This window comes from Homo sapiens, chromosome 5 (genome assembly GCF_000001405.40).
Source record: "Homo sapiens chromosome 5, GRCh38.p14 Primary Assembly".
Lineage (NCBI taxonomy): Eukaryota > Metazoa > Chordata > Mammalia > Primates > Hominidae > Homo > Homo sapiens.
The window spans coordinates 177,444,379-177,456,300 of NC_000005.10; the positions used below are offsets into that span (position 1 = coordinate 177,444,379).

Below are 11,922 nucleotides of genomic sequence, written 5' to 3' on the forward strand. Positions count from 1 at the left end.
GCTAGGGTTAAACTCACCTTAAAGCTCTTAACACAGTGGGTCCTTGGCAGAGGGAACTCCCAGAATTCATTTCCCAAGAAGCTTCCCTGAGCTGTCCTCCATGCCCAGCTCTATGGTGGGAACTGGGACCCAGATGGAGACGAGGCCCCTGGCAGCTTGGAGCTCAGTCTGGTAGGGAGGCAGACGTGGGAACAGCGGGACCCAGTGTGATCAGCACTGTGGAAGAGAGGATTCTAGAGCTGACAGGGTTGGGGGTGGGGCAGCACCAAACAGGGAGGCCCCTTGACCCTGAAGGTGTCAGAATTGGTGCCCTCCAGGACACAGGGTCAGATGTACCCAAGTAGAGGAGCCAGATGGATGGTCTAGGGCTTTAGTGGTTTAGGATGGCTGAGCATGGGAGGCCAGGGGTGGAAGCAAGGAATGGCTGGAGCTGAAGTCAGTGAGACACAGCCAGCTTTGAAAGCTAGATTAAGGATCACAGGGTTAAGGCCCAGATGGGGCCTCATCTGGAAGGTAGGGGATTCCCTGAAGGGTTTTTACTGGTTGTGTTGGGGTGTTTGCTCCAGCATGTACAAAAGCACCCCCAGTCTCTGTCCATGTGGTTTAGACGGGGCTGGGCTTGCACCCCCTGCACACGCATACTCCACACACATACCTAGAGTGAGAGAGCCAGGTGGGAATGTTGCAAGTGACAGAACTGTCCTCCCGCTAACTTAGAAGGTGTTCCAAGGATATGGAGGAGCTTCGGGGTCTTAGTTGTGGGCTCCATTCTCATCAGGAGACACCCACCAGAACCAAGATGATAGAGCCATTTGGTTTTGCCTCTTTGAGCCCAGTTGCAAACTCAAGGAGTCTGAGTGGCCAGGCTGGATACCTGCCTGCTGTGCACTGTCAGGGAGCAGGGCACTTGGGTTCACAGTTTCACCAGGATGGCACCCGTGGGGCAGTGATTCCCCCATTGAAATCAGGGTGCCTGTATACAAAGAAAAGGGAGCGGGTACTGGGAGGCCATTCCCTTTGCATAAGGAGCACATATCCTCTCCCTTAACACACAGGCACTTAGATTGGTTCACTGATAGAGACTCAGCCCAAATGAGTCCAAAAAGAATCATTCATGGAGTTGTTTGCTTGTATTTTGCTCAAATGATGGGGAAGGAATTGGGGTTCCGTTTTCCTCCAGGGATAGATGGCAGGATATGAGCCTAGGGCTGTTGGGGTTGTCCTCGCTACTTCTTGGGGTGAGCTTGCCTGAGAGTGATGCAAACAGAAGCAGATACGTGCCTGACACCATTGCGGGAACACCTGGAAGCAACTGTGACCAAAGCTAGAATCTACCCTGGGACTTGCCAGTTGCATGAACCAGTCCCCTTTGAGCTCAAAGCTTTTTCTTTTCTTTCTCTTTTTCTTTCTTTTCTTTCTTTCCTTTCTTCTTTCTTTCTCTTTTATTTTTCTTTCTTTCTGTCCTTTCTCTTTCTTCTTTCTCTTTTTTTTTTTGAGACAGGGTCTCACCCCCTCCCTTAGGCTGGAGTGCGGTGGCGTGATCTCGGCTCACTGCAACCTCTGCCTCCCGGATTCAAGCGATTCTCCACAGGCGTGCAGATTTTTTTTTTTTTTTGGTAGAGACGGGGTACAGCTCAAACCTATTTGTTTGGGAGTTCTGTCACTTCAACCCCAAATGTTCCAGCTAATATGGTGGTGGAGGGGTTTTTGGCAAATCATCTTAAGTGCAGTAGAGAAGTTGGACGAAAAACAGCCCAGTTAAGAGGCCGATGGACAGCCAACTTCAGAGTGGCCTCTGCAAGCTTGGACCTCGGGGTAGACAGTGGGGCGCTCTCTAGGGGTCATCTGTTCCCTGCTGGGGTAGGGGGGAGGCATGTCCACGGAGGCCAGGGCTGTGGGTTCGGCACTAGGTCCTCCTCCCCGTGGCTTCCTAGTAGGCATGTGGTGGTGTACGCCTGCTGGGCACCTAGCGAGAGGGGTCGTGAGTTGGGAGGGAGCCACGTTGGGGTGCCTGCCTGCTCGGGGGCCCCTGCCCACTGCGTGTGCGCAGCGCCTGTCAGGATGTGACGGGGACCTGGACATGTGTGTGCTCTCCGAGCTGAGCTGTGTGCGCGTCCGGGTTCTCGACCTCAGCTGCCTGGCTGTGCATCCAGCGTGCACGACCGGTGTGGCCTGGGCTCCAGCCTGGAGTGTGGACCGGGTCGGCCGGCGTGTGCCTCCCCTGTGAGGGTGCCCTGGCGGGTGTGAGCCCGGCGGGCTGGAGAACCGGGTCTCGGCGCCGCAGGTGGGTGACCGTCCTCCCCCTCCTTCCCTCCGGGGGCAGCCTCCTCGCGGCGTGTGGCTGGGGGTGCGGGGCCCTCTGCCGGCTGCCGCGCGCGCGCACGCCGGGCTCAGCACCCGCCGTGTACGCGCCCGTGCGCGCGCCCCGCGCCTCCAGCCCAGCGCTCGGAGCCGCTTTCGCTGCCACTGTCTGCTCCCCCGGGCCGCCGCCGCCTCCCCCCGCAGGCCCGGGGCTCTGTCCGCTGGGCCCGCGCTGCTCGCCCCGAGCCAGGAGAACGAGCTCGAGGAGGATGCCTGGGCCCGTGAGTACCGCGGCGGCTGCGGGCCGGGCGGGCACGGAGCGCGGGCGGAAGATGGTCCCAGGACTGAGCCCTTCCCCGCGGGCGGCTCAGCGCCCTGGCCCCGGGTCGCCGCCCCGGTCCCCCGCCCGGGCCGCGAGCAGCCCCTCCCCCAGTCCACACCGGAGGGAGGGAGAGCGCCAGTGAGCGAGGGAGCCGGAACGGGGCGCGAGCCGCCACCAGTTCGCTTGGAAACGGTTGCCACAGCAACGGGGTTGCGCTCCCCGGCAACACGACTGCGGGGCGGCGACGCCCCCTCCCCCTCCCTCCCCCCTCCCCCGACGCGGGCCCACAGCCCGGGGGTGCAGGGGGAGAGGGGTGCGCGGCGGGGGCATGTCGCCCCTCTGGCCCGGCTGGGTGTGCCTGCCTCCACAGCCCGTCGAGGGTGGGGGTGGGGGCGAACGGCCGTGGGCACGAGCTGGCTCCCACGTGGCTGCAGTCGTCGCAGCAGGGCTCCTGGGGTGGCTGCAAACGTGGGGGCGGCCCAGCCCCTGGGCTTGTCACGGGAGGAGGAGGCATGGAGGCTGGCGCTGGGGTCTTTGCCCATAGACCCCCCACCCACCCACCCACCGCCGCCACCACCTAATCGCGCCGGCCCTGGACATGGCCTGAGCCGAGCTGGGTTCCCCAGGGGCGACGTTTCTTACCAGGGTAGAGGAGCGAAGCTTGCATCCCTCCTCCTCCTCACGGCCGAGGCACGTGCCAAACCGGGCATGGGCCCGCGGTGAGTCTCTGCTCCGTGTTCCTAGCCACCATTCTCCAGGGAGGGGTGGAAGCAGAGTGGGCAGGAGCAGAGGAAAGGATATTGCTGACCCAGGGAAGCTGAAGCCCAGGCCAAATGGGAGCGACCCAGCCCATTGTCTGGATCACAAGTGCCCCTTTCTTGTCTGAGCACAATGCCCCAACTGTACTGAGTAGCATGCAGGTTGGCCGGCAGGGAGGCACGCGCCACATGGAGGTGCCTGGTCCGCCAGGGGAGCTCCTCTGGGAGGAGAATGGCCTCTGACTCAGAGGAAATGACCTCTGGCTCCCCTCCCAACCTCCCCTCAGCGGGCATCATGCTGGAGAGAGAAATGGCCCTCCTGCCAGCTCTCCCAGGCCTGACTCAGCAGATGCCAGCCCCGACCGCGGGCTTCAGATCCAGGATCCCAGCGACCACAACCGTCCTTGGGTTTCCTTTCCCATCCGGGGAGGCATCCTAGAGGTGACTGGCATCTGGGGCATTGGAGGCCTTGGCATAAGATGCCCTTAGATGGGTGGTGCCCTGGAGGTCAGGCCTGAGTCTCCTGCAGGCAGGGGCGCCTGGGGAATTACTCACGGGTGCCTTTCATTCCCTTCCTGCTCTGTGAGACCTGTGTTGAGTGCTCTGCATCCATTATCTCCTAATTTTTTTTTACAACAGTTGCGCAAGGTAAGTTTATTATCCCCATTTTAGAGATGAAGACTCTAAAGGGAGGCTCAGGGAGGTGAGTGACTTGCCCAAGGTCACACTACCAGTAAGTGGCAGAGCTGAGTCTACACTGCAGGCTTCTCTGGGGGCAAAGCTCCTCTCTGCCTGCTAGCTAACTTCTCTTGTAACCCAGGAGAAGAACTGTAGAGCCTTCTTCCTTCACTTTCCTCCAGTGAGGACATTCCCTGTCTTTCGGGTCTTGGTACATTTTTCCTTCTTCCAGCTAAATCAGCCACATTCTTGCTCCCCCAGATGCATTATAGGATGGGGCCAGCTTTCTCCCTCCCTTCTTCACTTCCTCCCTCCCTCCATTTTCTCCGGTGAGACCAAGCAGCAAAGGGCTGCCTCAGTCCCCTGGGAAAACCCCAAGCCCTGGTCCTCGGCTCATGGGCTCCATGGCCTGCTCAGCTTGCAGTCTTGGCTGTGGGAGAGAAAATTTAGCAAAGATGGGTCCATGCACTGCTGCAGCCTGTGGGTGCTCAGTCTAGCTCCAGGCATTGGAAACCCACATGCTTCCAAGGATCAGGGGGGAAATGGAATGAGTGAGGCGGGCCAGGGAGCCGCTCAGCTCCAATCTTTGTCACTGTGTGAAATGTGGACTTGGTATGACCTGACTGTCCAATTTTCAAGATGAACCAGAAATCCAGACCTTTATATAAAATCTCCTGGATTTTTAAATGTTGGCAATTAATCAGAATGTTTTTAAAAATGGATTGTGAACATGGATTGTTTTTAAAACATGTCTGAGAACTGTGTCCAACCTAAGGGTCCTGTGTCTGAGACCTCTGGTCCGTGGGAAAGGGACCGCAGGTTTTGCTGGGCCGCCTCCAGGCTGTGTACACTGTGACACCAGGGGCTGCTTTCTGCATTTGAGCCTCTTGAGGCTGCAGGGTGATCCCTCATCAGAGGGAGTTCTGTTGTCCCCTCGGCACCCTGGTCCTACTGCTGAAGAAACTCCAGCTCAGGTATGGGAGTAGCCAGGATGGGATCACATGGCTCGGTGAGGGCAGAAGCCAGATTTGAGCTCAGGCCTACCCCTCGGCACTCTGCATGTTACCCAGGCTGCCCCCCACAGGGTGTCACCATCACGCCCGTGGGGCCGCCTCCCCTGGGAGGTCAGATCATTATTTCCATGCCAGCTGCGGGGATGAAGGCACAGAGAGCCACAGGCTGAGGTTTCAGAGGAGGAACCTGGTCTCTGAAAACCCTGCCCTGAGGAGGGCCGGAGCTGAGCGCAGTAGACACTGGCCTGAGGGAGGGCTCTCCACCTACAAGCCCACCGAGGCCTCAGTCTCTGTGGTCTTATTTGTAGTTTCCCAAGCCCTGGGTTCCTGGCTTGGTGTCAGGGTTAGGTCATCTACCTGCAAGCAAGGGTGCTTGCCACTCAGTACCCTGGCCTAGGCGGAGGGCGGTTCTGGCCAGCTCCAAGCCTGGCTGACTGGGAGTGGAGACAAGTCCTGTCAAGTCCTCTCTGGCCTCAGTTCCTCTGTGTTGATGTGGGAAGGGTGTAAGGGTGTCACCAGTGGCTCCCTGAAATGCCCTTGCTGCCGGGACCGAGGACTTTGTCATCACCCGGGCTTCACACCACCTGGCTATGGAGACCTGAGCTGGACCCACTCCTTGAGCCTACATCCTTGTCTGTAGAGAGAACAGCAGCCACCTCCTGAGTTTTCCTTAGATAACTAGCATAGAGACCAGTAGTGGGCCTGGCGTATGCAAGGCACACAGGACAGGCTGTCAGTCTGTCCTGCCCCCCAGCCCTCACCCCCTGCTCTGAGTTCCTGTCCCTTCCCTTGAAGACCAGCAGCTCTAGCCTCAAGTCCAGGTGTGACCCAGTGCCCCTGCTGCCCGGGATTTTCCATCCCCACCCCCCAGAGCCCTGGTGTGTGCCTCCGTACAGCCTTTTCCTTTGATTCACGTAGACACATGGGGTCTCCACTTGCTTATGAACTGCCCTGCCAGGCGGGGGCTGGGTGATGGCTCTTCTCTGAGTGACGTTTTGGTGAATGGCTGACATTTCCCAGGAATGAATTGGACACAGAGCCAGCCCTTGAGGTACTCCCCCGGTCCCACAGCTAAAAGACCAACCAGGTAACGAGCCCTCCAGCATCTCCTTCCATAGGTGGTTCTTGAGCCAATTACTGGGTGCCAGCTGGTAAGGCCGATGGTGCTCGGCCCTGGCCACCCCGGAACATCCTGGCATCATTGGGCTTCCCATCCCTGAGGGGTGAGGTGGCTCAGGTGAGCCCCAGAGGCCTTGGCAGGAGCTCATTCGGGAGGCCAGCACCTAGGTCAGTGGTTCTCAAAGTGTGCTCCCTGGCCCTGCAGTACCAGCATCTGCTGGAAATTTGTTTAAAATGCAAACTCGGGCCCCATCCTAGACCTACTGAATCCAGTACTGGGAATGGAGCCCAGCACTGTTTTAACAGCCTCCACGTGGTTCTGTTGCCTGCTTAAATTTGAGAGGCCCAGATCTAAGCCATGTTAAATGCTAGATTGGCTCCTGAGGCAGCGTAGTGTTGTGAGGAGTGACTAGGCTGGGCAGGGGCACAGCACAGTGGCAAGCATGGTGATGGGGGCCAGGGGAGAGACGATGCTGGCCTGGCCAAGGCAGTGGCAGGAGGACCAAAGGAAGTGGACAAATGCCACCCTGCAGAGGATGCGGCGGACGGAAGGAATGGTAGGCTCTTTGCTGAGATAAAGGACCCAGTAGCAGATCTTTGGTGCTTTGGCCTGTAAGGCTGAAGTGTGCACAGGGCAGTGTGGGAGGTGCCCACAGCAATGCAGCCAGGCCCTGGCTCTGTGTGCCCTTGGGTGTCATTTAAGCTCCTTGAGCCAAGTGTTCTCATCTGCCAACTAACAAGAATGCCAGCCTGCTTCGGAGAGTGAGTGTGGAGCCCACCCTCAGGCAGGGAGCACCCTGTAGCCTGCTTCGGAGAGTGAGTGTGGAGCCCACCCTCAGGCAGGGAGCACCCTGTAGCCTGCTTCGGAGAGTGAGTGTGGAGCCCACCCTCAGGCAGGGAGCACCCTGTAGCCTGCTTCGGAGAGTGAGTGTGGAACCCACCCTCAGGCAGGGAGCACCCTGTAGCCTGCTTCGGAGAGTGAGTGTGGAGCCCACCCTCAGGCAGGGAGCACCCTGTAGCCTGCTTCGGAGAGTGAGTGTGGAGCCCACCCTCAGGCAGGGAGCACCCTGTAGCCTGCTTCGGAGAGTGAGTGTGGAGCCCACCCTCAGGCAGGGAGCACCCTGTAGCCTGCTTCGGAGAGTGACTGTGGTGCCCAGCCCTCAGGCAGGGAGCACCCTGTAGCCTGCTTCGGAGAGTGACTGTGGTGCCCAGCCCTCAGGCAGGGAGCACCCTGTAGCCTGCTTCGAAGAGTGAGTGTGGAGCCCACCCTCAGGCAGGGAGCACCCTGGGGACACACACATGTCTGCATCCTCAGCTCAGAAACCACCATCATCAGAGCTAATGTCTGTTGGTACCTCCACACCCTTTGCATGATTAGCTTCATCTTCACCGATGAGGAAACAGAGGCAACTTGGAGGTTAAGAAACTCACCAAGGGTCTCGCTTTCATCCCCCTGCCGTGCTCCCAGTGAGTGTGTGGCCCGAGAAAACATGCAGAGCGATATGGTTCAAAAGCACTACAGATAAATCAAGATGCAACCCTAAAACATGTTCAAATAACCTTCAAGAAAGTAAGAAAAGAGAAACAGGAAACAGAACGTGAGTAATCAAATGGCAGACTTCGGTCCATCTGCAGGGCATCGCTCCGAGCACCTGAATGTGTTGGGTAGGTAGGAGGAGGCACGTATTGGCTACTACCAGTCTGGAGCAGTGTGGGCAGTGGAGGGAGTGGCTGGGAGCAGCAGGCTGCAGGCAGGCTCTGAGTCTGAAAGGCTCCCAGACAAGGGCAAGAGCTCACATAGTAAAGGAGCAGTAAGGGGGCATGGTTTTTTCGGGAGGCTTTGCCAAGTCTGGCCTGGTCAGGTAGAGCATTTTGAAAGGTCTGAATGAACCTCTGATGTTTATGTATTGAGCACCTATGGTCGGTTAGATGAGAGTCTACTGAGCACCTGGGAGGGAGGCTTCAGACAGGATTCCAGTCCCGTGGGCCTGCTGTGGCACTGCCGAGAAGACAGCGTTCAGTGTCAAATCCCTACCCACTCCACCTGGGGGTGGAGCCAGGTTGGGGCCAGGGGGCTAGTTATGTGACCTTAAGCAAGAGCCTTCCTCTCTTTGGCCCAAAGTTGCCTAGTTTATAAAATGCAGCTATGACGGCACCCAGCAGGTCCTGGGCGTGGCCTGCCCTGTATGGCCTAATGCCCCACCTGCTGAGCTGGGCGCCCTCAGGGCACAGAGGGCCCTCTCTTTTGTCTCTTGCTAACCTGGCGCTGCCATTACATCTCCCCTTCATCCTGTAGCTCTTTCTCACACTGCTATTCCACAGCAGAGTCGGGCTGGTGATCAGGCATGCCAGGGCCCTGGTGGGAAGGGATGGGAATGCATTTTGGCTGCTAGCTGGCTTGTCTGCCCAGTGCCCCCATGGCTGCCACTTACATCTGGCACAGAGTTTGGATTCAGACTCAGGCTAAATCCTAGCTCCTCCCCTTCTGAGCTGTGTGACCTGGGGCAAGTCATTCCCCTCTCTGAGCCTATCTCCCTGTCTATCAAATGGGCACAACCACCACAGACAAGGTGGTGTTGAAGAGAGGATTCTGCGTGGTCCTTGAAAGATATTTCTAATTCAGCTAAACCCCATCACCTCCAGCCCCAGAGTTACCTTTTCTGACCCAGAGCTGTTCCTGCCTGGCAGACCGGGGGACCTCTAGTTAGTGCCAGTTTCCTCAGAGCATTCCTGATGGCTCAGGAAAAGAATAACAGATGTAATTAACTCCCAGTGACTGGCAGCATCGTGTTTTTATCTGGGCTGCGTCACCATGGCAGCCTCATGGCAGGGTTGTCGAGGGGGCGGGCAGAGCTATGGTTCCTGCCATTGTCTGTTCTGGAACGCAGGCCCAGGAGAAGGGGACTGGCAAGGGCACCAAGTGGCACGTGGCTGAAGGCAGCCATGGAGTCAGACAGGAGCCATCTGGGGAGAAGTGTGGGGTGGCCATGGCCTGGCTTCCCCCCAGCCTGGGGCTCAGGCTCCCTGTGGCTCTCGAAGCAGTGTGTGTGTGCCTCGGGCACGCGGAGGGTAGGGTCCGTGGGGCTCCTGGAAGAGGCCCACAAAGTAGCCCAGGCAGCGCTACCCCCCACCCCACTCAGGCTAGAGTTTTGTGGCCAGGCCTGGGTTCAAATTATGGTGCTACCACCTGCCATCTACACAGCCAGTTGTTCCCCCAACTCCTCGTCTGTAAAATAGGAATCATTCCAGTTACCCCAAAGGCTTTCGTTCAAACCTGTGTGTATAAGGCATTCAGGAAAGGCTCAGTTCTGTTCTGTGGGGGCGGTGAGCAGTCACCTGCCACCCTTCACTCTCAGAGTCAGGGCTCCCTCCTACCTCCCTCTTAGGGTGCAAGGTTCCCCCTCTCACCCGCAGCTGTGGAGAGGAGGAAGCGGAACTAGAGATGCCCATCTGGAGTGAGTGCAGGACCAGGTGGGTACGAAAGACTAGCTTCCAACCCTCATCTAGTTTTCCTCCCCTCCGCGAGAGGGAAAGGGAGACGGCGGCCTGAAGACAGAGGCAGAGCCAAGTGGGGCTGTGCAAGGGCAGGAGGCGGGGAAGCGGAGTTGGAGCAGGCAGGGCGCCTGGAGGAAAGGAAGAGAGTGTGGCCCACGCCCGGCGCGGCGCGCTAGGCTCAGACAAAGGCAGGGCCGGTGGCACGCATTACCAGTCGGAGCCACCCGCCTGAGCCCCCCTACGGGAGCGGCGGGAGACCCGGAGGGCGCGGTGCGGAGCCAGTTGTTCCGGGCTTTGGGCAGCCAGGGGCTGCCAGGCGTCTGTACAGGGCGTCGGGTGGCTGTCTGTGGGGCTCTAGGAGATGTACCACCCTTTCCCCGCCGCACAGCAACGGCGCCGAGACGCCTCTTCAGGGACCTGGTGCGCACAGGCTCCTGAAACCCTTTGGCCCCGGGACTGCGGATGGCGAATCTCTCGTTCGGACTCAGAGCTGGAGTCCGTCCTTCGCGCGCCCCCTGCTGGCCCGCCTCGGCTCCCCTCGGCGCCCGGGCTCCGCGGCGGCGGCCGGGGCTCAGATCGGGGAAACCCTACCGGGGAAACCTCGAGGCGTGACGTCACCCTCCTCGGTGACGTCACCGGGCCCCCGGGGAGCGCGAGGTTCCCACGGAGGAGGCTTTCCCCGGACTGCGCAGGGCGCGGGCGGGGGCCGGGAAGTCGTTGGGGGCCGCGGCGCGCCTTCACTGCGCCCCGTGTCTGCCCTACAGGTCCCGCGCGGCCCCGGGTGAGGCACGCCCGCGCGCCCGCCGGCGCCATGGGAAGGAGCGGGCGCCGCTGCTGTCCCCCGCCGGCGCGCGCACGACTTGAGACCTGCCACGGGCAGCCCCCGGCCGCGGGTCCCCGAGTGACGCTGGCGGCACCTGAGAGTGTGGCGCGGGCCCGGGGCCACGCAGCGGAGCCCAGTGTCCAGTGAAGCGTCTGAGGACCCGCCGCCCGTGCCGCCGCCATGGTGATGTCCCAGGGCACCTACACGTTCCTCACGTGCTTCGCCGGCTTCTGGCTCATCTGGGGTCTCATCGTCCTGCTCTGCTGCTTCTGCAGCTTCCTGCGCCGCCGCCTCAAACGGCGCCAGGAGGAGCGACTGCGCGAGCAGAACCTGCGCGCCCTAGAGCTGGAGCCCCTCGAACTCGAGGGCAGTCTGGCCGGGAGCCCCCCGGGCCTGGCGCCGCCGCAGCCACCACCACACCGTAGCCGCCTGGAGGCGCCGGCTCACGCGCACTCGCATCCGCACGTGCACGTGCACCCGCTGCTGCACCACGGGCCCGCGCAGCCGCACGCGCACGCGCACCCACACCCGCACCACCACGCGCTCCCGCACCCGCCGCCTACGCACCTGTCGGTGCCGCCACGGCCCTGGAGCTACCCGCGCCAAGGTGAGTACCGACCTCCGCCAGGGGGCGATCCGGGCCGCCGGAAGTGGGCGGGCGTTGGAGGGCTCGCTGCTTACCCTCAGGGCTTCCATCCGCAGCCTCCGGGAGAACACGGGCGGCGGCGGGCTCGGGTTCGGGCTAGGGCTGGGGCGCGGGCGGCCCCTGGCCGGGGCCTCTGCGAGAGGCTGGGAACCGGCGGCCTCACCTCCTCCGACCGCCTCCCACTCCGCAGCGGAATCGGACATGTCCAAACCACCGTGTTACGAAGAGGCGGTGCTGATGGCAGAGCCGCCGCCGCCCTATAGCGAGGTGCTCACGGACACGCGCGGCCTCTACCGCAAGATCGTCACGCCCTTCCTGAGTCGCCGCGACAGCGCGGAGAAGCAGGAGCAGCCGCCTCCCAGCTACAAGCCGCTCTTCCTGGACCGGGGCTACACCTCGGCGCTGCACCTGCCCAGCGCCCCTCGGCCCGCGCCGCCCTGCCCAGCCCTCTGCCTGCAGGCCGACCGTGGCCGCCGGGTCTTCCCCAGCTGGACCGACTCAGAGCTCAGCAGCCGCGAGCCCCTGGAGCACGGAGCTTGGCGTCTGCCGGTCTCCATCCCCTTGTTCGGGAGGACTACAGCCGTATAGAGGGGCGCCCGGCGCCCCGGGCCCCACCGGCGGACTCCTGGCCTGACTGCGGGGCTTTTTAAATGCTTCCCTGGACTGCGGGGAGGGGCGGGGGGAGGGAGGGATTTCTTATCCCGTTTGTTACATTTTGAGGATAATAAAGGTGTGTGATCTGGTTTGGTACAAGCGGAGGGTGCACC

General features: G+C 60.7%; 1 protein-coding gene and 1 long non-coding RNA gene across 7 annotated transcripts in view, besides 13 other annotated features; one reads left to right on the plus strand and one right to left on the minus strand.

Moving 5' to 3' along the window:
- Positions 1 to 3,566, minus strand: part of PRR7-AS1 (PRR7 antisense RNA 1) — a 10,056-nt gene extending 6,490 nt beyond the window's left edge. Inside the window, exons 1-2 of one of the 2 annotated variants that reach the window (NR_038915.1) lie at positions 3,266 to 3,566; positions 18 to 216 (exon numbers count right to left, since the gene is read on the minus strand). This is a non-coding gene — a long non-coding RNA (PRR7 antisense RNA 1). The remainder of the gene's footprint in view (positions 1 to 17; positions 217 to 3,265) is intronic. The other variant, NR_038916.1, reaches the window with a different exon arrangement.
- On the plus strand, positions 1,617 to 11,908 carry PRR7 (proline rich 7, synaptic). 5 transcript variants are annotated; one of them, NM_030567.5, is made up of 4 exons: positions 2,436 to 2,582; positions 9,578 to 9,662; positions 10,451 to 11,116; positions 11,346 to 11,908. In NM_030567.5, exons 3-4 carry the CDS (start codon positions 10,690 to 10,692, stop codon positions 11,741 to 11,743), a joined length of 825 nt encoding a protein of 274 aa, NP_085044.2. In that variant the 5' UTR covers positions 2,436 to 2,582; positions 9,578 to 9,662; positions 10,451 to 10,689; the 3' UTR covers positions 11,744 to 11,908. The 5 variants fall into 5 exon arrangements, with proteins under 5 accessions (NP_001362522.1, NP_085044.2, NP_001167572.1 ...); NM_001375593.1 differs by lacking the exons at positions 2,436 to 2,582; positions 9,578 to 9,662 and adding an exon at positions 1,617 to 2,284; NM_001174101.2 differs by lacking the exon at positions 9,578 to 9,662.
- Positions 2,061 to 3,150: a silencer, noted in NCBI's record as "silent region_16687". NCBI's record gives its function as "represses an Ori minimal core promoter by ATAC-STARR-seq in GM12878 lymphoblastoid cells {active_cell/tissue: GM12878}" and the evidence as "EXISTENCE:reporter gene assay evidence [ECO:0000049][PMID:35858748]".
- Positions 2,061 to 3,721: a biological region, named in NCBI's record as "H3K27ac-H3K4me1 hESC enhancer GRCh37_chr5:176874472-176875100".
- Positions 3,093 to 3,721: an enhancer, noted in NCBI's record as "H3K27ac-H3K4me1 hESC enhancer chr5:176874472-176875100 (GRCh37/hg19 assembly coordinates)". NCBI's record gives its function as "activates a minimal SCP1, AML or CMV promoter by ChIP-STARR-seq in primed H9 embryonic stem cells {active_cell/tissue: H9 hESC(primed)}" and the evidence as "EXISTENCE:reporter gene assay evidence [ECO:0000049][PMID:30033119]".
- Positions 4,759 to 5,259: an enhancer, noted in NCBI's record as "H3K4me1 hESC enhancer chr5:176876138-176876638 (GRCh37/hg19 assembly coordinates)". NCBI's record gives its function as "activates a minimal SCP1, AML or CMV promoter by ChIP-STARR-seq in naive H9 embryonic stem cells {active_cell/tissue: H9 hESC(naive)}" and the evidence as "EXISTENCE:reporter gene assay evidence [ECO:0000049][PMID:30033119]".
- Positions 5,260 to 5,760: an enhancer, noted in NCBI's record as "H3K4me1 hESC enhancer chr5:176876639-176877139 (GRCh37/hg19 assembly coordinates)". NCBI's record gives its function as "activates a minimal SCP1, AML or CMV promoter by ChIP-STARR-seq in naive H9 embryonic stem cells {active_cell/tissue: H9 hESC(naive)}" and the evidence as "EXISTENCE:reporter gene assay evidence [ECO:0000049][PMID:30033119]".
- Positions 9,487 to 9,576: a silencer, noted in NCBI's record as "silent region_16688". NCBI's record gives its function as "represses an Ori minimal core promoter by ATAC-STARR-seq in GM12878 lymphoblastoid cells {active_cell/tissue: GM12878}" and the evidence as "EXISTENCE:reporter gene assay evidence [ECO:0000049][PMID:35858748]".
- Positions 9,982 to 10,682: an enhancer, noted in NCBI's record as "H3K27ac-H3K4me1 hESC enhancer chr5:176881361-176882061 (GRCh37/hg19 assembly coordinates)". NCBI's record gives its function as "activates a minimal SCP1, AML or CMV promoter by ChIP-STARR-seq in naive H9 embryonic stem cells {active_cell/tissue: H9 hESC(naive)}" and the evidence as "EXISTENCE:reporter gene assay evidence [ECO:0000049][PMID:30033119]".
- Positions 9,982 to 10,696: a biological region, named in NCBI's record as "H3K27ac-H3K4me1 hESC enhancer GRCh37_chr5:176881361-176882061".
- Positions 10,087 to 10,696: a silencer, noted in NCBI's record as "silent region_16689". NCBI's record gives its function as "represses an Ori minimal core promoter by ATAC-STARR-seq in GM12878 lymphoblastoid cells {active_cell/tissue: GM12878}" and the evidence as "EXISTENCE:reporter gene assay evidence [ECO:0000049][PMID:35858748]".
- Positions 10,146 to 10,377: a silencer, noted in NCBI's record as "fragment chr5:176881525-176881756 (GRCh37/hg19 assembly coordinates)". NCBI's record gives its function as "represses an EF-1alpha promoter that drives an FKBP-Casp9 reporter gene in an ReSE screen in K562 erythroleukemia cells {active_cell/tissue: K562}" and the evidence as "EXISTENCE:reporter gene assay evidence [ECO:0000049][PMID:32094911]".
- Positions 10,887 to 11,436: a silencer, noted in NCBI's record as "silent region_16690". NCBI's record gives its function as "represses an Ori minimal core promoter by ATAC-STARR-seq in GM12878 lymphoblastoid cells {active_cell/tissue: GM12878}" and the evidence as "EXISTENCE:reporter gene assay evidence [ECO:0000049][PMID:35858748]".
- Positions 10,930 to 11,224: an enhancer, noted in NCBI's record as "tiled region #1974; HepG2 Activating DNase matched - State 1:Tss, and K562 Activating DNase unmatched - State 1:Tss". NCBI's record gives its function as "activates a minimal TATA promoter and a strong SV40 promoter by Sharpr-MPRA in HepG2 and K562 cells {active_cell/tissue: HepG2 | K562}" and the evidence as "EXISTENCE:reporter gene assay evidence [ECO:0000049][PMID:27701403]".
- Positions 11,527 to 11,666: a silencer, noted in NCBI's record as "silent region_16691". NCBI's record gives its function as "represses an Ori minimal core promoter by ATAC-STARR-seq in GM12878 lymphoblastoid cells {active_cell/tissue: GM12878}" and the evidence as "EXISTENCE:reporter gene assay evidence [ECO:0000049][PMID:35858748]".
- Positions 11,909 to 11,922: the final 14 nt, after the last annotated feature.

Excerpts from the sequence above, each read along its gene's own strand:
- PRR7 (NM_001375593.1), top strand. The coding sequence starts at position 10,690 with ATGGTGATGTCCCAGGGCACCTACACGTTCCTCACGTGCTTCGCCGGC. Across the intron at positions 11,117-11,345 it reads CTGGAGCTACCCGCGCCAAG|CGGAATCGGACATGTCCAAA; the intron begins GTGAGTACCGAC and ends CCCACTCCGCAG.